The 23438-nt window shown below is 34.5% G+C and overlaps 1 protein-coding gene across 21 annotated transcripts in view; it reads right to left on the reverse strand.

The window, feature by feature from the left end:
* The window catches only part of DLG2 (discs large MAGUK scaffold protein 2), a 2173362-nt gene that overhangs the window by 1643926 nt on the left and 505998 nt on the right, over nt 1-23438 (reverse strand). For 14 of the 21 annotated variants that reach the window (XM_017017256.3, XM_047426494.1, XM_017017257.3 and 11 more), the window contains one exon: nt 12724-12798. The exons of the other annotated variants lie outside the window; for them this stretch is intronic. In XM_017017256.3, the coding sequence (XP_016872745.1) occupies nt 12724-12798 (75 nt within the window). The remainder of the gene's footprint in view (nt 1-12723; nt 12799-23438) is intronic. 21 annotated transcript variants of the gene reach the window in all.

A 23438-nucleotide genomic window follows, 5' to 3' on the forward strand; every position in this document is an offset into this window, starting at 1 on the left:
TTTTGATTAGATGCTTCTTGTTGCTGAAGCAAGGGAGTCAGTACATTAATCTAGGCTTATAATTTTATAAGGCAGGCAAAGGACTATGCTGCCTGCTGCCAAACAGGACCTCCTTGAGGAGCTACAGCAACTAATGTTCCATTCTTGTGTCAAGTGCTGTTAAAAGTTTTCTTCGGGCCAAAGTTTGTCCAAACATTTTGTACAAATCTGCAGAGCTCCTGCGTAGCTGGAGGCTGCTTCATGAAGTTTGGCACTGAGTCCTGCTTTGTATTGGTAGTAGGAAGCTGGCTGTAGCTACAGACATGGCCTTGTGGAACAGCTTTCGCTGCGTGGACTACCTGAGGCTAGATCTAATGAGGTGAGTCTGAGCATAGTATGAGCACAATCAGAAAAGCAGAACAAAAAGTCAGAACAGTAAGCAGATGCAAGCAAGTCATTGACAAGAAAGCCTCCATGTCTCTTTTATATACTTCAGGCACATTAACAACATCTCTTTGTTATTTCCTTGAATTTCTAGCTTTGATATAGATAATTTATAAGTACAAAAAACATAAAGAATAAACATTTTAAAAAGTCTGTAATAATTATTACTAAGAGTATACTCCTGTTCATATGTTGTATGGCCTTCTATTTTAACATTAAATTGTGTGAAGTACCCATCTCCTGAATGTTGTAGGAAAAGCTTTCTTAAAGAGACATAAGCAGTATGAAGTTTTCAAGTGGGATTATTCGCTTGGAAGAGCTGTCATTAATGTCCCCATATCTGTAGCTGGTCTATAAATAGCCACCAATACCCAAATTAAGAGCACTTGATGATGTCCGTGTTTGTTCCGCAGTGGTCTAACAATACCAGATAAAAGAGAACATGATAGATAGGGAGAGATGCCCAGGAGAGTTCACAAGACATTCACCTACTTTGTATCTAGAAAAAAATCATTATAATTGCACTGGACCTGGCACTCCATAACCAAACCAATCACTTGCGCTTCTAAAGGCTCCTTCATCACCAAAGGCTAGAACATATTTTCCAAAAATACTTTTCAGGAACTCAAGTAGCCAAAACCAAACGTACCAATGGTTCTGAGTTAGGAAATACCTTTCAAAGATATAGAAATTGTAAAAGAAATCACCATCAGAAAAAAATTAAATTCTATGCTCTTATTAAGTAAATTAACTCATATAAACATCTAAACTTCATACATTTCAGTTATATCTTACACTATCTGAGGTAAGTGGAAGTAAGTCAAGCTGTGAGAGAGTTCATTGCTCAAGTGCCTTTGAGAGGCAACATAGATTTTAAATGCAACCACCTTCAGAGTTCTCTAGTGCTGATAATAATAATATAATAATAACAATAAAATTAACATGAATTGAGCACCTACTATGCAACAGGAACTGATTTAGGCATATTTATATGTTGTCTCTAATTCTGAAAATAATCTTTCAATGTAGGTAATTATTTTTATTTCATAAATGAGGAAAGTAAGGCAAAGAGATATTGAAAGGTCATATGGCTGGTGAGAAAAAGACGATTTTAACAAGGTCTGCTTGACTCCAAAACTCATGTCCTTACTTCAATGCAATACGCCCTTAAGTGATGGCCGAAAAGATCAAAAGAACAAAGATTTATCTACACTGAAAAGCCCAAGTAATGCTAGTGCATGCCAATGCACTGTTAATAACCAGTAACAGTACACCACCCAAGGCAAATCTCCTTGCACATATTACCAGGGATCTCTGCTTTGCCATCAGTCTCTCCTTCCTTCAACACCACCCCACCATCTCTACCACAAACTCAAGCCAATGCCTCAGTTACTTAGGTTAGAGAAGAGAAAAATCTGCTACTCTGAGAGTTTATATAAACTGAAACATGCCAGCTACCTGGTCATCTAAGAACTGTCAAAGAAAGAGAGGCTCATAAACGTGAATCATCCTGAGAATTAAGGTTATTGGAGCATTATATAGTTTTGTATTTTGAATGATTTTTAAATTTGCAAATGTTTTTGGTAGCTACAGTTAAAAGACACAAAGGTAATTCTGATGTCTTCTCCAAAACAGCTTTAGAAATAATTTTAGTTTTTTATGTGTTGACTCATGACCAACATTTATGAATGTCAGTCAAGATATAAGGTTGTAATATTCCAGTGCCCCAGAACCAAATTATATCATAAAGCGTAAGAGCTTGTTATTGCTTTTAACACTTCTTTCTTTCCAAGCTGTCAGATGCCATTTCTCTTGACTGCCAATATAGCAGGCTTCAGCAATGTCCTCTCTTGAATTTCCATACACCTGCTCTCATTACCTGGATTTTCTAATTGGTTAGGTAATAAAATGCCATGATTATACGAGATATATCTGAAAAGTCTCTACAAGGCATTATGGGTCTCTCATGTTCAAACATGTATGCCTAAGAAATATTAAGAAGACAATACAGTAAAATCATAGAATAAGTTATCAGTAAATTAGTTGTGAGCACTGAAATACTGATTTAGTACACTTCAATGCCATTTTTAGTATTTCTCAGTTTATGCTATATAATTAAGGTTTGTGGGTATTAAATAAGTAAAATATTGAGTACAGCCCAAACTCCTGTAAGTTGATGTTAGAGAGAATAAGTACTCTATTCTTCCAGGTACTTTTTTTGACACAGAAACAGAAGTACTGAATTGGAAAAACTATGATTCCATCCCATTATGGTATTTTGTACTCCTAATAGCTTACAAATTATTGAATCACCATATTCTATTAGTAGCTTTGTACAAACCTGTGAAAAAATAATGCTGTAGCACACAGCTCTGTCACGAAACCATCTCTGGGAGAACATTTCGTATTCAATTACTGCAACAAAGGATGAAACCAAGAAGCAGAAAGATAGAGCTTAGCAACCCCTTAAAGAAAGCCCATTATTAAAATTCCTTCAGTTCTGAATGGTAGGTCATGCTGAATTTCTAAATAGTCAGTCTTGTAACCCTCTTTATACAGTGGCTATATACATGGTCTTCTCCAAATAAATAAGATGAGATTAGCAGTTCCAACAGTACTGTGAAGAAAGACCTTCAAATGTGCTTTTGTGGCTGCCAAGATGGTGGTTCAACACTCCAATACTGTCAAACTGCAATGCATAGAATCCATGTGGCATCTTCCACGATACAAAGCATAGCTAATTAAAAAAAAGCCTCTTCTAAATTCATCATTTTTACAGCTAACTCAGGAGCATCAATTTGCCTATAGAGATAGTAAACAATATCAGAAACAGAGCCAAATTGGGAATCCAAAGGAGTCATTCTGGCTCCCCTACGTGCTGATGATATGTTGCCAAAATAAGTTATTTTACTTCTCTGAGTTTCAGTTTCCTCATCTGTCAAACAAGGTAAGAATATGTTCCCTATTCAACCCAGAGTAAATATAAAGTCTGTGAAAGTATTTTAAACACTTGCAAGAAATAAGCAACTCAGAATCTTTAATGGTGCTATGTCATAGAAAAATAGCCCAGAGAAAGTCAGGCATGGATTATGAGTAGGTAGATTATGCTCTCAGGAATCCTAGAAAAGGGCTTCTTAATATTCTCAATAGAAAGCCAATACATTATTTTAGCAAATGAAAGTTTTAAGTATTAAAAACAAACATCAAAAGAAACAAACAAAAATTCCCCTTTCATAATAAAAACAACCAACATTAGTAATTAAGGGAACTTCCTCAGCTTGATAAAGGACATCTACAAAAATTGCACAGTTAACATCATGTTCAGTGATGAAAGACTGAATACTTTCCATCTAAAGTCAAGGAGGTCTGCTGGTACTAATTCTATTTAACATTGTACTGAAGATTCTAGCCACATCAATTGGGCAAGAAAATTAAATAAAAGGCATCCAGATTAAAAAGGAAGAAGTAAAACTTTCTCTATTTGCACATCACATAGTCTCGTACAGTATCTAGAAAATCCTATAAAATTTTCTAAAAAGCTATTAGAACTAGTAAGTTTGGTAAGGTTGCTGATACAAGATTAACAAATGCTGATTTTACTTCTATACACTAGAATGACCAATGTAAAAGTGGAATTAAGAAAACAACTTTGTTTACAATAGCATTGAAAAGAATAAAATATTTTGGAATAAATTTAGCAAAAGAAGGGCAAAACTTGTATTCCAAAAACTATAAAACATTGTAGAAAAATTTAAAGAAGACTCTAATAAATGGAAGGACATTCATGGATCAGAAGATATAATACTGATAAACAGCAATATTCCTCAAATTGATGTACAGAGTCAATGAAATCTCTATGAAAATCCCAGCAGGCTTCTGTAGAAATTCATAAGCTAATCCTAAAATGCATGCAAAAATGCAATGGACCCAGAATAGCCAAAACAATCTTGGAAAAGAACAGAGTTGGCGTCTCACACTACCAAATTTCCAACTTACTACAAAGCTACCATAATCAAGACAGTGTGGCACTGGCAAAAGGATACACATAAAGATTATTGAAACAGAGTTGAAAGTCCATAAATGGACACTTATACTTACAGTCAGTTGATTTTCAACAGAAGGGAAGGGACAACTCGATGGAGGAAAGAATAGATTTTTCAACAAATGATGCTGCGACACTTGGATATCCATATATACTATATAGAAAGACTAACTCAAAACTGATGATAGACCTAAATGCAAGAGCTAAAACTATAAAACTTTTAAAAGAAAATGTAGAAGGAAATCTTTGTGACCTTGGGTTATGCCAAGCCTTTTTAGATATAACATCAAAAATACAGGTGACCAAAAAAAGATAAATTAGACTTTATCAAAATGTAAACATTTTATGCTTCAAATGCCATTACCAAAAAGTAAAAAGATAACCCACAGAACAGGAGAAAATATCTGCAGATCACATATCTGATAAGGGACTAATATCCAGAACATGTAAAGAACTCTTACAACTCAATAATAAAAAGACAAAAGCATTAAAAATCGGTATAGGATCTTAATAGACATTTTAACAAGAAGATAAACGGTAATAAGTACATGAAAACACGGTCACATCACTAATCAATAGATAATTCAAAATCAAAACCAAAATGAGATACTACCTCACACCTATTAGGATTGTTATAATACAAAAGATAGGTAATAACGAGTGTTTGTGAAACTGTAGAAAAATTAAAACTTTCATATATTGCTAGAAGGAATGTAAAATGGTGCAAATGTTATGGGAAACAGTTTGACAGGGACTCAAAAAGTTAAACATAGAGTTAGCATATGACCCAGAAATTTCATTCCTAGGCATATACCCAAGAGAATTGAAAATACATGTCCACACAAAAACTTGCACAAAAATATTCATAGTAGCATTATTCATAACATCAAAAAGTGGAAACAATCCAAATGTCTATCAACTGATGAATGGATAAACAAAATATGGTATACTCATACAATGAAATATTATTCAGCAAAATAATGAAGAAATAATGGATGGTACAACATGGACGAACCTTGGAAACATCAGGCTAAGTGAAAAAAGCCGGTCACAAAGGCTGCATATTACATACTTCCGCTTATAGGAAATATCTAGAAAGGGCAAATCCATAGAAACAGAAAGTAGATTAGTGGTTTGTAAGAGCTGGGAGGAGAATGGGAAATTACTGCTAATGGATGTAGAGTTTCTTTTAGGGTCATAAAAATGTCCCAGAAATGTCCCAAAATTGATTGGAGTGATAGTTGTACAACTCTGTGAAAGAACTAACATTCATTGAATTGTATACTTTAAATGGGTGAATTGTATGGTATGTGAATTATATTCCAGAGATACTGTTAAAGGATTGAAAAACAAAAAAACTGATGGAAAACAACAATAAGAGCACAAACAAAAAATCCCAAACACTCATAGGAAGAATGTCATAAAGTTTTATATTCATTCTGTGTTCTATTAGATCTTTGGCTGAATGGCAAAAAAAAAAAAAAAAAAAAAAAAAAAACAGAGAGAGAAAGGAGAAAGAGGTGGGTGAATATTGAGGTCCACAAATCAGTCAAGTTGAATAAAGAGGAAATTCTAAGGAAAATATTAAAAATTACAGAAAGAGGAAGCTGGGGACACTGAGCATAAACTTTGATGACATCAATTTTACCGTGTGCCTATCCACTATTCCTCCACTTAGTTTCTCAGATCTTGCCAGCAACCTTAGGGCTTGCATCCTCCATTTCTTTGCTCAGGGCATGCTGAATACATGTCTATGTGTTTTCTGTTTTATTTCCTGTGTAGGTTTTATGTGTGCACACTGGGAATGCCCTTTCATCTTTCCCATGAACCAATGTCCCCCTCCATAAATACTGTGGGTTCCCTTTCTGGGCATATTTCAAAGATCAGTGTAACAAAATTATTTTATATGAGTATTACCATTCCCAGCAGAGTCTTTAAAACTAGATAGGAAACTGGTGTAAGTCTAAAATACTGTAAGGGCCAGAGCTTAGGGAAAAGAGCAACATATCTATTCTATCAATCTCATCTTCTCTATACTTTCATTGATTAAGAGCCCATGACTACAGCAAAAATGAAATTAGAGGCACTCTACAGAACTCACATTTCTTAAAGTAAATCATGCCTTTTCTGAGATAATTTCCCCTCTGGATTCTTTTCCAGTCCTGTGGCTACCACCCGTATGGCCAAATGTACTCTAATCCCACTGCCCACCAATTTAAGGTCCTGTACGCTGCAATTTTCTGCAATTTTCCTAAAGCTATGATTATCTGATAATATCCTGGCTTCGATTTATAAGAGGACTGCTGATAGCATGAAAACCTTGCCCTAAAAAATAAAAATTGTATGTAGTCTTTCGAAAGACAACTCTTCAAAGCCATTCTGGGTCTAATTTCCCAGCAGCAGAATTAGTCCAGAGGGTGCTGCCTTCATAGAAGCTCTGGAAACACCCAGAGAGCAGACACAACACTATTTTATAACTGGGTTAGATGCTTCTGAGTGCCATGGTCTGTGTATTTATGTAGGGTGTATACCAAATTAGGTCACACAATGCATTCTGGGAAAAAAAGGGTTGGGAGGAACTACCAAAAAAAGAAAAAAAAAAAAACCTTTAGGACTATTGCAGAATAGCTTATGCACACTGTATTAACTGGTTTCAATTAGACTGAATGATCCTGAATGTGGGTAATGTGAGGCAGTCTGGGAGAGCATGCTGGAACAATTAACACTTCAAAAGAACATCTCCTCTGGTTTCTGTGAGAAGTGTCTGTTTTTACTGATTCCCATAAAAGAGAGAAATTACTTTCATATTCTAGAGAGACATAGTAGGAAGATGTTAAAGTGTTTTTAAATGAAAAGGAAAACCTGGCCCCACTCCTTAAAAATGGCTGTATACAAACAGAAATGAAAATGGCTGAGAATATCAATAGCGCTCATTAATATGACACTCCTATGTCATCGGTTCCTGCCAGTCATAGAACAAAAAGTTTCTTTTTCAAGAACTGCAAGATTCTGCTTTCAAAGTCTTAAAGAGTTGTATATTAACTCCTAGAACCTTTTTCCAGAAAAGGTTCTCCTACACAGGTCTAAATGAGTACCCCTGATTTACTATTGGGTTATTGTCTGTTTTTTACGCTTTTTCTCACCAATTTATCCTGTCCCATGCACTCCCTTCTGGAATGACCTATCCTTTTCTTTCTTTCCTTCTAGCACTTACTAAGCACTTAATTATGTGCCAGGTGCTATGTTAACACTTATTATGCATTATTTCATGTAAATCTCAAAATATCCTGTTGTGTACATAAACTCAGATTAGGTAAATTGTCCAAGGTCATACAGCTTACTAGTAGAAGAGTAATACTTTACTCTTTCCACTTACTAGTGGAAGAGTTAATACTTTAACACAAATTTCATTCAATTCTAAAGGGTGTACCCTTAACTATGACCAAATATTGCATCTTTTGTCTTCCAAAATCCAACTTAAGGCAACTTCCCATTTGGAAAATGTATAGTGCTTTCTATAGACCATTATTAAATAATGTGTTGCCAAGTATAATTATGATTTATTTATACACATTGTTTTCTGCTATACATTGAGAAATCCAAGGGTCAGTTAAAATACGTGTTCAGTAACTACTTCTTGAATAAGTAAATGAGAGTTGACATATTCAGAATTCAGTGCTCTAATTTATAAATGTTTATGCTATTTGAGAATTTTTCACTTATCTGCTTATAGTATTATATAGTGATAGAAACCTATAGATATAGCAATGTCTATGATAAGTTCCATAATAGCAGTCAACTTAGCTTTAAGAAACTCCTTTCCCAGCATTAATTTCCAGTAACTAAGGGGTGTGCAAATATGCAACAAAACAAAAGAATTTTTGTAGCCAAATCATGTGTATTTATACTTTGCATGTCTAATTGATAAAACCACACATTATAGCCATTTCTGAGTATACCTAATAATTAAGAATTGAGGATATTCAGAACTGGGTTTGGGGATATTCCTCAAAATGATTAAATCCATGCATGGGCCATAGCCATACTGAGTGGTTCACAAATATGCTCTAAAATGCAGCAGCCACTCAAGCTTCTTACAGTTGGTCATATCCAAAGTTCTTTAATTCCAAGCGCCAAATGCTAATTCTTAGCCTAGTTCACCCAGATTCAGAGAGCTATCATTCTTCAGCTGAGTCCTAGAAACTGTGGACATTTTCTCAATTGTTTGCAGATGGCAGAAGCTCAGGTAGCTACTGTGTTCATATTCATGGTCATACAAACCAATGAGGCATATAATCAATTTAAATTTAAAATGTAAGGGTAAGGAAGGCTATCATTCTAGTGATTAATATAGCCGCACGATAGGAGAGAAACAAACTGCCACACTTTTCACTAGGGAAGATATTTCATGTATTCAGAAAGTTTAATTATGTCCATGTTTCTAAATAATTAACGGGGAGTATAATTTCTTTTCTGCTCAAACCCCAATCTGTACATTATAGTTACTACTGAAAGGACAAGTCTTAAAAAAAAAAAAAAAAAAAAAAAAAAGCCTCTCAGCCCCATTACTACATAGGTGCCGAGGGCCAAAAAACAAACAAATAAACACACACACACACACACACATCCAGGAAGAAAGAGAACAAATAGTTAATAGAAGCCATTTTCAAGGCAATATGTAACTGGTGACAGACATTTGCAAAGCAATCTGGAGGAGCCAGAAATCAAATGATAAAAGTTCTGCACTTAAAATGAACTTGGGGCAAATGCAGACATGAAAACCAAGGCTTTTTTGCAAAATGTAATAAAGCCTAATTATGAGGATACAATCATTCCAGAGTAGAACAACAAAGAGCAAGAATAGGACAGTGGAGAAAGGAATGTAGGAGAGAATAAACTGAATTTGAAAAATATACAAGGATAATAGAGACTATCAATTTATTAGGCCTGTAAGTATGAATTAATTTATTTATAACTTTCTTCAGTCCTTGGAGAATTTATGACAGCCAAGACACTCTCTTAAGCACAAGGTGAAGATTTTCACTATTTCCTGAGAGATTATAAAATGAATATTAATACCAGAATTTCATACATATCATAGTTTTTGGTTATATAAATATATGTATGTTAATTGTAGAGTTAACCGCCCATTTTTTTTATTCTATAAGATGAATTAAGGTATTATCAAATTATTATTTCATCATTTTTTAAATATACCCAAGTGTTGTCTGCAGTCAGATATTTGAAATAGATTATAAATTATCAAAATCCCAGTGTTAGTGCTTTTTTCTGAGACTACTACTTATTACACTAGCTCTAGGGGAGACTCAGTAAACATTGCTGACTAGTAGTATTAAACTATTTTCTTTTTCCTTTTGGTTGCAAGTAAATCAAAGAACAAACCCTATCAAAAATAAATAAAACAAAATCTAAATAATTGAGAAAGAAGTAACATTGATTGTAAGTTATTGAGGCCATTTCACAGACTCCAAGAGAGTTTTGAGTACATAATACCTAAGAAGGGCAGATACAAAGCAGCTTTAGAGGTCTAAGCAACTGAGCCTCACATAACTTTTTCCAAACTGTTCTCATTCATATGATTCAAAATTGATGACTACCAGTTTGGTATATCTCCAGTACAAATTTCAAATTCCCAGGAAAAAAAAATTCAACTGGCCCTGCTGGAATCAAATGTCTTCCTCCTGGATCAGTCAGTCCTGGCCAAGGGCAGGCTCACATAATCTAAACATGACCATCGGGAGCCCACCTCTGTGGACTGGGGGTTCTCTGCAGAGAAAGCAGATCGGTATCTGCTGCACAACTCCTTCAGAAAATATGTGTTTCACTGGGAGATATAATTACTTTTATGTAAATAGCAAAGTAAATTTATGAAACCAGTAGCCCCCAGTTCTATGGCAGAAATGAAAAAGAAACATCTACTTTCTGATTCTCTCACCTGACCACAGCACTGAGAATAAGACTTTAATGCTGGCGCTCTGACTTGTGATCTTCAGGAAGAGTCTTAAATGTAGTTGTTTATTTGTTCCTAAGGTTCTACAATACAACTAGGACCTAATCTGGGATTCCCAGATCCCAAGGGGTTCAACTCCAAGGGAATAATGAAAGATGAACGATTTATAATAATTCAAAAGACAGAATCCTAATTATGCAATTTCCTTGCAACAAGACTGCACAAAGTAATAAAATGTGAAAGTTCTTATATTAATATTTTGGGCTGAAATTACCAGTGTATTAGAGGATCAGAAATTCTTATTGGTATTATACATGATTGTGTTTGATTTACATAGGATTACTGCCTTATTCATGTTTATATTTCCAGCAATTGGCATAGTACTAGACACAACTGAATGGAATTACTAAACTTTGTAGCTTGAAAACAAAATTTCTGAAAACACACGTTCTATGGTATTCTCTTAGGAGAAAAGTGTTAAAGAATGATGAAGAGGAGAAATAGAAACTACCAGCCTAAGAGGGTAAAATACCATTATTAATCCTCTTTACCAAGAAATCTGAGAGCTGTGAAATAATTTATTAAAACTTACTAAAGAGAAAAATCAACATATAGGAGATTCACATATTGAAACTTAACTCCCAGAATTTCTGCCATGTACCAGGGATTTTACTAGCTGTGGATATACTAGGACCCCAAGGAGCACATTGTCTCCATGGAGAAACAGATGTAGGAATCAGTAGTTATGAAATGATACCATCAGGGATACAATAAAAGAAGTGTTCTATTTATGAACAAATAATAGAATTATTAAAACACATCCTTTCTCAGTTCAAGATCAGCCTGTTCAACAGGGCAAAACCTCGTTATTTACCAAAAATACGAAAAAAAAAATTAGCTGGGCTTAGTGGCATGCACCTGTAATCCCAGCTACTTGGGGAGGCTGAGGCACAAGAATCACTTGAATCCAGGAGGTGGAGGCTGCAGTGAGCCAAGATCATGCCACTACACTCCAGCCTGGGCAACAGAGTAAAACTCTGTCTCAAAAATAAAAACCAAAACCAAAAACAGAAAAACCACATCCTTTCTCTATCATAAGTAGTCCCTAAGCATGCACTCTCCTCTGATCATCTGCTCAAAAATTAACATTTTTATTCTCTGAGTCTCCAGCACATCTGGGCTCCCTCTGCACTGCAGGAATACCTCCAAAATTTAGCATCACCATCTCTCCTTCACTAAAGGTGATCCCACTTTCTCCCCCCTGCCACAGATAAACAAAAACTGAGGAAAAAAGCTTAATCTCTTACACAATCTGAGTGAAAATCAGGCTCCCCCAGGCTTACTGCTAACATAGTTGTAAGACATGTTATGTCAGTCCAGTCGTATCTTTCAGCACATGGTACCTCAACAATAGATAAAGATATTTAGGAAGCTCCACATATTACTTTTCCATTGCCTACAAGGGGAGTCAAATGAGGAGAATTTCCAAAAGGTAACTTTCTAATTTTTTGTCTCCATCATACACAAATTATTTCATGACAGCTAAACTCATTTACAGTACACGTAATTCCAAGAGACACCACTGTCATTTCTATTAGGCAATCCATGTATTACAGAGTATCATACATTCAGCCACTTTCTTCACACACTTCAGAGTACAGAAGTAGTAGCATGAGTACATGAAAGGAGAAGTAGGATGTCTGGGATCTGTTCCCAGTGCTACAATTGATGCACTATTCTTACTCCCTTTGCATTGAAATCTCCCATCTGTAGCACAAGGATAATGACATAGTACCTGTTTGTTTCTAAGGCACTGGAAAATTCTCTGGTAGAAGATACTATGCAAATGCAGAGACTATTATTACACCAGGAAGACTTGAAAATTGCAAGTTGGTGTGCTCATGACTATTAAGCAGTTGACACAGTGACAAAAGAGAGAGCATCTTTCTTCAAGGCATCTAAAATCAAGTATTGCTGAATATGCAGCTATTCTGAAAAACATATGTGCAAATATATTCGTTTTAATGACCTTCCAACTCTAACTCATCAATAACCCATTTAAAGCAATCCTTTCCAAGTTATCCTGACTCCAACAAAATGCATGGAATCCCTAATCACTGATATTTTTTATAATGCAAAGCTTTCTGAAAGATTATTCTTTCTCCTTGCAAAATATTTGCTTTACTCCAGAATTTCAGAGAGCATTCTGGCTCATTCCACTAAGATTATTCCAAAATATAAAAACATTTATCCTTCAATCTGCTAATCTTGGAATAATCAAACTTACAGTACAGTGGTGGACAGGCATCCAAGCAGGGGCTTCCACTGAACAATTCTGGGCTGGGCATCTGCCTTGGTTTTGCTGCAAATAAGTAAAAATTATATTATATTCTATTTATTATGGGCCAGTATGTATATATGCTAGCTGACATGTTTATTATCAATATGTTTATTACCTTATTTATAATCATAGAGAGAGAATGCTTTGTTGGTGCAATGCTGCAGAAAACTAGGTACATAATTTCTACTCTTATCAAAGCATAAGAAATTATCCTTTTCCTTTTTTGTTACTCTAAGGACTAGGTTTCTGGCACCAGGCTGTCTCAGCATCTGGCCTTCCAGGCTTCAATACCAACCACCTGAGAACTCTTACAACCCATAGGCTGACTGTTCTCTTCCAGGCTCCTAATCAACCCTGAAACATGCTGTACTCCTGTAAGATCACATGAGTCAAGGTATAGAATGGCTGTTTATTTGTCTCTGTTTCCAGACTATAAGCTAGTGATGGTGATTCTCTCTAGAGTGTTTCATAGAACTCCAGAATGTTGGGTTGAAAGGGATAGATCTCAGAGGCCTTCTTATCACATGAAAAACTGAAGTGCAGAGAAATAAAACAATTTTCTCAAGGAGTCAGAAATTTGACATTCTAAACCATTTTCCAGGCACTTCTTTATACAAAAGAAATTTATCTCTAGTTAACCTATACTTTTGTTGTAATTCCTGTAAATTTACTTCTAATTGGCTTTTAAAAATAATACAGTGCTTTACTTTCACCAACAATACTGCTACACCCCTTTGATAATGAAAACTGATTAGTCCAAAAGGGGGGGAAAGATTTTAATAAGCCATACTTTATCTTTTATTTTTTTCATTGTATTCTCAGTGATAATATAGGCATACTTATAATATTAATAATCGCCATAAAAACCACAGCTGTGATTTACTGAACAACTAAATATGCAAGGCACTATTCTGGACACATTATATTATTACTAGTCCCCACAATAAACATAAGTAGGAGTATTATGCTCACTTTCTAGTGGAGAAAACAGAGACTTAGAGAGGTTAAGCAACTTGGCTAAAACTCAACCTACTAGACAGCAGCATCTCTGAGATTGCAGCAAGACTCTGGCTGACTCTGGTGCCCATGTATGCTCTTTCTTTTATGAGAAGTTGCCTCTGTTATTTTAGACTGTCTCTTTAATGGGAGGTAAGCCATGTCATCATCCAATCTGATTTTATCTAATGAATGATCCTAACATTTCTGATTTAACTGAATAAAATACTGAATTCAGTACTCCTATCACACTAAAATTTTTGCCTGTGATTTGTAAGCTTTTTAGAGCAACTTTATTTGGTTGATCTATTTTTAAGGCATCACTAAGCCCTAAAATGCTGTATGAGTGACTATGGATAAAGTCATCATAAAAATAAACTTATATCATCAATCTCCATGATCAATTTCTTTAAAGCAAAATATGATATGCAGCAGCAGCAGCAGAGTACAGAAGGTACACTGGTCAGATAACCACAATTTTAAGCTAATTTTGGCCATGTGCTTGCTGCCATGAAATGCTCTTGACAGTCACAACTGTGAAACAGTGTTAGTATTTTGCCTAATTCACAGATAATAGATATAGATTCTCCTCAGATCATTATCACAATTTGCAAGGAAGCTACTAATGAGAACACACAACATATTCACAAAATATGACGGGTGCATAAATAAGGTGTGTTTCAACTTCTGCGGTGCTCAGCATGGGATAAAGAAAGATGGAAATGTGTGTTTCTGTTTTGCCTTCTATTATTACCTGATTTCTGACACTAAGATCTTCTCGTACGTGTTTTAACTAAGAAAATTAACAATGATTTTACAAGGCCAGACAAATAAAAAAGACTAGTGATGACACATGTCATGTGAACATAAATTATTCTTTAATCCTATTGTATGATAAGCAAAAAACATTGAAACAGAAGTTAGAACCTTGGATTTTAGTTTAGTGTTCCCATTGATCTACCTGTGGAACTTTGGAAAACTCACTTTAACACTTTAGACCACACTTTTCTCATCTGTAAAATGAGAAAGTTTCTTGGATCCATCATTCAATGTGGAGAGAGGAAGAGCCAAATCTACCCAAAGATCTTTCCCAAACTTTATAGTTCTACCAAGAATTTAATATTTGGTTTTATCTACCAAAGTGGTATACCCTGCAGTTGAGATCATTTATCATTCTGATATACTGATGAGACATCTTTTAGGGTCTTGGGAATATGAACAGGAAATGGTTATTTCCCTGTGAGTTTCAGTGCTAGCAAAGATCCACAACCACTAGACTAGATGGTCTCAAAAGAGCCTTCCACTTAAGTGTGGTTACTGAAAATCCTAACCTCATGTTTTGTCTACCACTTCGCTCTACTTCTAAAGAAGGCAAGATCTAACATGGATCAGGGAACCTACCACAGCAGGTGGAGAAGGAAAGGGATTTAAAATTCTTTTTCCTCGAAGTCTTCATTCTCCTTCTTCAGTATCTTTTGTTTTTAACATTTAATGTGTACACTGTGGCATAACAGAGTTTGGGCCTACCTCCTACTCAAAAGAGTAGGAGGTCAGCTCCTTAGAAGCCCAGCTAGAACCAGAATAAACACTAGGGGAAAGGACACTATCATGTCTAACTCTTAGTTAATTCTTAAGCCAAAAATCAAGGGAGAACATTAGAATTCCCTCAAGGGAGAACCTAGCTCTCTAAGCAAAGATTTAAGATAGAAGTTGGTGACAAAAGGTAAAGCTTTCCCACCTTCCTTCTGTCTCATTCATCTATCCAGGATGTTTATACCTGTAGATTAGTGATATGTGACTAGACCAGGATTCGGGGATTTGCAATGCTGACCGTTAAAAACATGTCCTCTTAAGAGACAAAACTATCAATGGGTCTTAGTCTTTTAAAAACAGACAGGTTGATGTCTCCAAACCTCTCATCTTCCTTGGTTATCTGTTTCTCACTTTAGAATCTTGACATATTTCATTCCAGAATATTCTGAGAACATTAGCTAAATATGCTGACCAATTACACCTGAGATTGATTGTATAAATATGTAACTACAAAGAACTCGAAAAGTGACCTAGAGAACCCTAAAGATGTTCTTCTCAAACAACCCCATCCCTCCAAAAACATGGGAATATTTTTTTTTGTGTATCAGGGGCTTATACACAGTTAGAGTGCTTTGGAGTTTAGAAATGCTTATATATACATTGAGCCCTTTCATCCCCAGAAAAAGTTGTGTGTGGCAGAGTGAGAGATGATTCATACAAATAAAATTTTGACCTAAATGTTTCATTAAAATAGCATGTTCTTTTGAAAGCAGAGTAAGAGCTGAAAGGTTCTGTTGTTCTACTGTTCACAGTAAAATGATCCTCATAAACAAAGGAGTTTTTTTTCGGGGTGGGGGTGCGGTATTGAGAAGTATTGCATGATAGAACTGTACACATATTTGCTCATTCATTTACCCATCCCTCAGTTACCAAAATACACTCCATGAATGGTACGTTAGGTATACATATAGATTTTAAATTTAGAACTAAAAAATTTAAATAATCCTTATTCTCCTAAAGCCCCCAACCTTTTAGGAGATACAATACAATGTGCTGAGTTTAAAACAGGGTTAAATAACAGGACCATTCATCCATTCATGTAGTTGGTCAACAAGCATTTATTGAGCAATTACTAAGTGCCAGCTATTGCATTAGGAATAAGGATATATCAAGAGTCAGTATCTGCCTAAAAAAGTACTTATTCTAAGGAGAAAGATAAACTAATAAAGCTGCAGTTATAAAGCAATATTACTGATATGGGATAAATAAACCATTTCATGACAGATCAAAAATATTCACTGCACTCATTCTTGGGGCAGGAGTAAGAAATGAACAAGCGTAAGGGAAAATTATACAGAGGAATTGAGGCAAAAGGTGGAAGTATTTAACTCTGGCTGGGTAATTCAGAAATGTCTTTTTGAAGAGACACTTCAGGTTTCCAACACAGTTTTAAGGAGGCGAAGGTGTAAGAAGAGGGCGTTACAGGCTAAAGGTAACTCAAAAGACCATCTGATAGTGCAAAGTAAAGACATTATTGGCCTTGTCAAGAAACTCCTCAATTCTGGACCTCAGAATCCCAGGACTGAGGAGAAAGAATGATTTTATGCTATACAGAGAGCTGAGTTCAGCCTTTCCCTTTATCTCTTCTTCACAAGACTAAATGGACAGCAGGGTGTGGGATAAATGAATCCTACCAGGAAGTGGACATGGAAGGACCCAGATCTGATCCTGTAAAACACACAAGAGGCCCTCCTGAGTTTAATCTTTGAACAAGCATTTCAGCTGTCTTACTCATCCGTGAGACTCTAAGGTATTTGACAGATGAAGAAAAAGAGGTCAAAACGTGATGCCCAAGGAGCAGAACTAAGTGGCTTTTTGCATGCAGAACTAAAATGACATGCAATAATGTGTATGCAAATGGACTGTGAGTTGTAAAGTACTTTAGAAATGTAATGGATAATTATAAAGCATTAATTATTTGAAAATTAATTTTATGAGCTAATTCTTGTTATTAAAATTACTAGAACACTTTCTGACTTCTAGTCCAATATACTCTCTAGCACATCAAGAGTTAAAAATTTTTTCAAAAAGTTTGAGGAAAAACGACTCAGAAAGTGCCTCCAAATCATCAATTTCATATATTTCTAAATATAGAGATATAATATATATCTATATTTGTATGTATGTATCTACATACACATCATGTGTTCATTATGCATCATCCACATAATGTGTCTATAGATACATATATACTTACAAATATGATTTATGTGTGTGTATACAGGTGTGTATTAAAAAATTATTCTGGCAAAATAAAGGTTTTCATTGAATTAGTTTTCTAATTTCCCATAAAGACATGTAATTTCAGAGTGAGATGTTTAAAAAAAGAGAAGATCAAATCTTGCCATGTGCTAATGTAAAATACATTATAGGTGGAAATATGTGCACAAAATGTTACATTGGAAGTCCTAAGACACCAAGATATAAAAATGAGATTCCAAAGGAGGCTAGACCACGTGTGCAATATTCAAATAAATTACCAAGAACCAACTTGAGGATCCTGAATCCTATCTATAATGTAATATAATGCTGGTATACAAAAGTTAGATGACTAAAGATTTAGAAAGGGGGAGAATATCTTTGAAGAGGGGTTGAGAAGTCTTACATATCACCTACAATTAGCAAAAGAAACTTCAATGGGACTGCACCTAGAGCTTAACATAACTTCCTTGGGTTTAGGAGGTCAGTATACTGGGATTTGACTCTCACCTAAGAAGCTTAACCAGTGAGATAACGTGGCAAATTGGTTCTTAAGTGAGAAGTGGCTTCATATGGGTTAGCCTGCACTCTCAGAGTTCGTCAAGGCAAAAGATTCATTCTGGAGCCATTGTAACACCTGTCAAGACAACCCTCCATATAGGGTGGGCTGCTGTAAAATGTGACGCTAAGGAAATGCCTCATCCACATCATAGGAGATTTAGGCCCAGAAGGGGAAACTTCCAAAGACTGAGGAAAGTGTCCATGAGGGAAAAACTCAAGCCAGACATTTTCTGGCTGCGTTAAAATCCCAGATCCACTGTTTGCTAGCTATGTAACCCTAGGCAAGTTGCTTTACCTCTCTTTGCATTAGTTATGAAGATTTTAAAAGTTATAAGTAAAGCACTTAAAACTATTTCTATACATAATCAGCACTATTTGTCAGTAATTTTCTTCCTTTTTGGTTATTCTTACTGTTATTATATGTCAGGTTCGGAAGGCAAAAAACACAATTCCAGTTTAATAAGAACTTTCCTTGTCTCCTTTTCTTATTTCCCTCTTATGCTCCAAACTTGGAAGGATCAATAACCAACTAGTAAATAGGTAAATAGAAAAAAAAAAAAAAGTAATCGTAAATAGGAATAAAAAAAAAAACTAGTAAAAAAAAAAATGAAAAGAGAAGTCTATGACATCCCCTTCCCCCAAAGCAGATGTCCTGTCTGAAGACCCCACAGTGGAAAAAAGAGAATCTTTCATCTGGAATGTGTTCAGAATTTTGACTAATATTTGGGACTGAGCAATTTTAATTAATACATTGGGACTGTATTTGTGATATTAAGTGATTGTAGGACTTTTCATTTCCTGTAAATGGAAAGTTATGAGAATACCCGTTTTCATTTAGAGGGCAGGGTAAGGACCACTGACATTAAGCCATTTTAAACAAACAATGGGGAATCCAAAATAAAATGACTTCTATTATTACATCCCATGAGTATTCCTTGTTCAATGTGTCAATTACAGATGCCAAACATACTCATGGTTAGTGTTAACTTTTTTCATTCAACTTTGGGCATATTCCTCAACATATGACTTCATCCCTTCCTGGGCTTATCCTTCCATTTGCTTCTTTTTATTTTCTCAGGCTTCAAAAGATGTTTAAAATAAGTTGGCCTAATTTGTTTCTGAGGAAATCCTTACTAAAACTGAAGCCATGCTGGGGAGTCATGAATTTGCCTCTTTTGTAAATGAAGAAAATGCTGCTGACCTATTCTCCAAAGGATGCTGAGAACAAGCGTTTTTCAGTGGGCAGTGATGATGGTGCTGAGTCATCCTCAACACTTTTCAAAATCCTTTGTGACTTCAGGCAGACATTTGCCCAGGTTAACAGAGGTGCAGTCTGTGGCTAACTAGTGCATAAGAGGATTAAACACTCTACATTAAAATATTCTAAGCACCTAGCTACCCAGATTAACAGTAATGAGTGGAATAGGCTCTGAGTTTTCAAGCTGGCCACATTAAAGGATTATAAATGGAAACCATTGTTGTGACTTGATATTTCAGGGTATCAATGGGGAGAGGACAGCGGGCTTTGACTTAGGAAGCATTTCCTAGATGTATGATGAAATAATACATTGAGCACCATTAGATCCCAGGCACTTGACATGCATTGTCAGCTCATTGTATCATCACATTAACCCTAGATAGTAGAGGAGAGAGTTTAATACCATGAGGAACTGACTGGACCCGGGTTACAATGCCAGAGTTTTCACTTTTTACATCTGTGGCTTTGGATAAATTTCTTAATCTCTGTGAGTTTCAGTTTTCTCATCCATAAAGTGGAAAAAATAAAACCTAGCTTAAGGAATTATTGTAAGGATTATAAAACTATATACATTATAATATATATAACATATATGTCTAGGGGCCTGATATATACTCTAATAGTAATAAGATAAATACTATATAATTTACATGTTAATATCTATCTTATTAATTGGGGATCTTTCTCCTGTTTCACTTAGCTCCTCTGAGTCTATATTCTTGTATCTGAGTATAAAATAGTAATATTTATCTCACAAGGTTACTATGAAAATTAAATGAGAAAAAGTACATGAAAGCGCTTAGCAAATGTCAAGAACTTTAAACTTAAGTTTTGTTTGTAACTTTTTTGTCAGTATATAGAAGATGGAAAGAATGTCTGAAATACTGCAGCAATTTAAGATAACTAAATTTGGGAGCCAAAACCGATTCTGCAGTCTGGGATTATTTACTTGAAATCATTGGTTATAAATATTTCTAAAAAATATAATATGGTATTTTAGTATTTTATGGAGGCATGTCCCAATATTCTCTGAAGCTCTGTCAGTCTCCAAAGTTTGAGTTATTACTATGCATAGTTGAATGCAATAGAGTAATTTAAGCTACTAAATACAAGATTTAAAAGCATAGTTTTGTGAAATATTTTTAATGTAATTAATATTTGCATTCTGTCATTGCATCCTAGTAATCAGATGAGAAAAACGGAATGGGCTGTAATTGTACTTTTCTCCTTGCAAAAAGGAAAATTTGGATATTATTACTACTATAGAAAATAAATATTTTTTCATTGGCAGATCTTATCTATTATAAACTACAAAGTCTCATGGAAACATAAAAGACTGTAACTTCTAAAACAAGCTACTTTTTTCTTCCAAACATATTTATAAATTCACTTAGTAAAAATATATGAAATTTCAGGACCCCAAAATAAAGTCAAACCTTTGAAGAAAGAAATGCCATTCAGAAACAAGATGAAAGTAATTCACTTCTATTCTCTCTGCTACCATAGAGACAAAGAAAAAACAAAGTAAAGAGATTTAGCACACTTAATTCTTCCTGAAATTTATAATTAACTACATGGGAAAGGTAACAATTACCATATTTCCAAAGAATAAAGAATTTTAAAAGTTGAGCTTTTGATAAGACATAATTACAACCTATTAAATATGCAATTCATACAAATTTGCTTATGATCTTCTTGAATTTCAAAAAATGCATATACATTGGATAGTGTTTTCTGAAAAGTACACATGGAATGCCACCAAGTTAATTGTACAGAGCTTTCTCTTATCGGAGGATTTTCTCAGTTACCTAAAATCTTGGCAAAACCTAACACAAAGAAAAGGGTCAATGGATATTACTTGCATATATGCCCTGTCTTCCTGACACCTATGAATATGTATTTTGGGACAAATGTTAATCAACAAGAAAATGTGCAGGCTTTTGTAGATCAAGTGCCATGGCCAACATCAAGCAATAGCCAGAACGGACTAGCAATTAGATATGTTCTCAGTTTAAACAGAACTTTAGATTTCTAAGTAAATTATGGGTGTATTAATTCAGGACAGTTTTATTTTAAGAGACTTGCAAGAAAACACCATATCTAGAAATCCTAAGAGATTCAAAACAAAGAAAGGGAGGAAGAGTTTATTTTGCTTAAAATGTATACTTTCATTTATGGTTTCTTTAGCAAATAAATTTTTTAAATTTTTATCATTAAGAATATCAAGAAATTATCCTTGTAATGTCCTATTTAGAACTCTATTTAAAAACAAATAATTTATTTTATTTTAGGGTATCTTAAAGACAGCATCAAAGGTTATATTTCTCATTGTAAAAGCATGAAGTATGCGAGAGGTAAGCTAAAAAAATTAATACTTTATGAAATGTGTTTTCATACAAAAATCAAAATTCTTGCTGGCATAGATAATAAATGGTATGATTTATGTCTTGAAATTTGACTTTTGGATATTCTTTTTTGAAACATAATTAAATGGTCTTCGAGGAGACTCTACTGCTAACTACATTGCTGCTTGGTAAAGTGGTATAATAGATTATTCTAAGTCATTTCTGTCTAGGGGTTTCAGAACAATTTTAAGGGAACATTTGAAAGTCTGTAAAGCTTTTAACTCAGATCTTAACCACAGAATAACGTAACATCCATTCAGCTCCTGTATGCATAGTGCTGGTGTCATCTGTGGCTAGTTGGACAAATTCCAAGTAATAATTACTATTATAGTTTTTTAAGTTCCTTTTGTAGGTTACTTGGGATAAAGCCATTTAATGATACTGATACACTTTGTTCTCTGAAATGTAAACCAGTATAAAAAAGTAGCCGAACTGCTGTGAACCTCTTCCTAGACAAGTTTGTATCCTGAAAGTTGAGTAAAACATAATGTATTCCACTTAAAAAAATTATATTATTTCTCCAATTATTTTATAACCTGATAATTTAGGAGAATAACATCATTTTTTAATTTTCTATTGCACACCTTTCTAACTCACTTTAATGTTTTCATAGTAAAATATACTACATTAATATTGTTATTCTTTTATAGTATATTTATGATAAATATGTTATATATATATTATAAAGTCAAATAATTTTCCCCAAAAAATACCATGCTATATTAAATCACTAAGAAATTAAATGAACATGAGTTGGCATTCTTTTATCAAACTGAAAAGCAGATCTGACTGCTTTAGTTTTTGTTTAATAAAAAGGTGCAATTGTCTTCTAAGTATTTTGTACTTAAATTTTAGAAATTTCAATTATGATCATGATAATTTGGTTTATCATAGATGTGATTCAATTGCCATTTTCCAGGTGTATATAAGGAATTTTACCTCTATTAGTCCATTTCTTTTATACAAAAATGACACTTCCAAGTATCATTTCAGGCTCACCAAATATTCACAGATAAGTTTACCAATTGGCTGTCTCTTAACTGAATAGTTTCTCCATCAGAGTACAAAGATTTCTTTCACAACTATTTATTGTGAAATGCACATTATATATACACATGTACATATGTGTGTACATGTATGTATATATGCTAAAACATTTGTGTATATGTGCACATGAGTCTATATATACACACACAGAAGTACATGGATATCTACATAAGAGTGTTGTGTGTGTGTGTAGTATGTATGTATGTGTGTGTGTAAATTAGAGGAAGGAAGAATTTCACCCACTCATTCACTTATTGAACAGTGAAATAGCTATCAAATGTCTGTTAAATGAAAGAATCAATCAACACTTGTAGTACATCTGCCAGTACCATGGTAAGTGATCAGCTATAAATACAACTAAGAACTTCCCCTGTCCTCAAGGAATTCACATTCTAGCAAGAAATAGGCACATGGAAAAGCTAACTACACAACCAGATAAAGACTATAACAAAGATGCAGACAATGTGCGGAGAACATGGAGGCTGATGGGCTCAGTCTAGTAGGACAATACCAAGGAAAGTACTTAAAGAGAAATCCGCATTTAGCTGAATCTTAAAGGTTAAGAAATGTATTAGGGAAGTATCAAGCTAGGAAGTTGAGAG

Source organism: Homo sapiens, chromosome 11 (assembly GCF_000001405.40).
Source record: "Homo sapiens chromosome 11, GRCh38.p14 Primary Assembly".
In the NCBI taxonomy this organism is placed as follows: domain Eukaryota; kingdom Metazoa; phylum Chordata; class Mammalia; order Primates; family Hominidae; genus Homo; species Homo sapiens.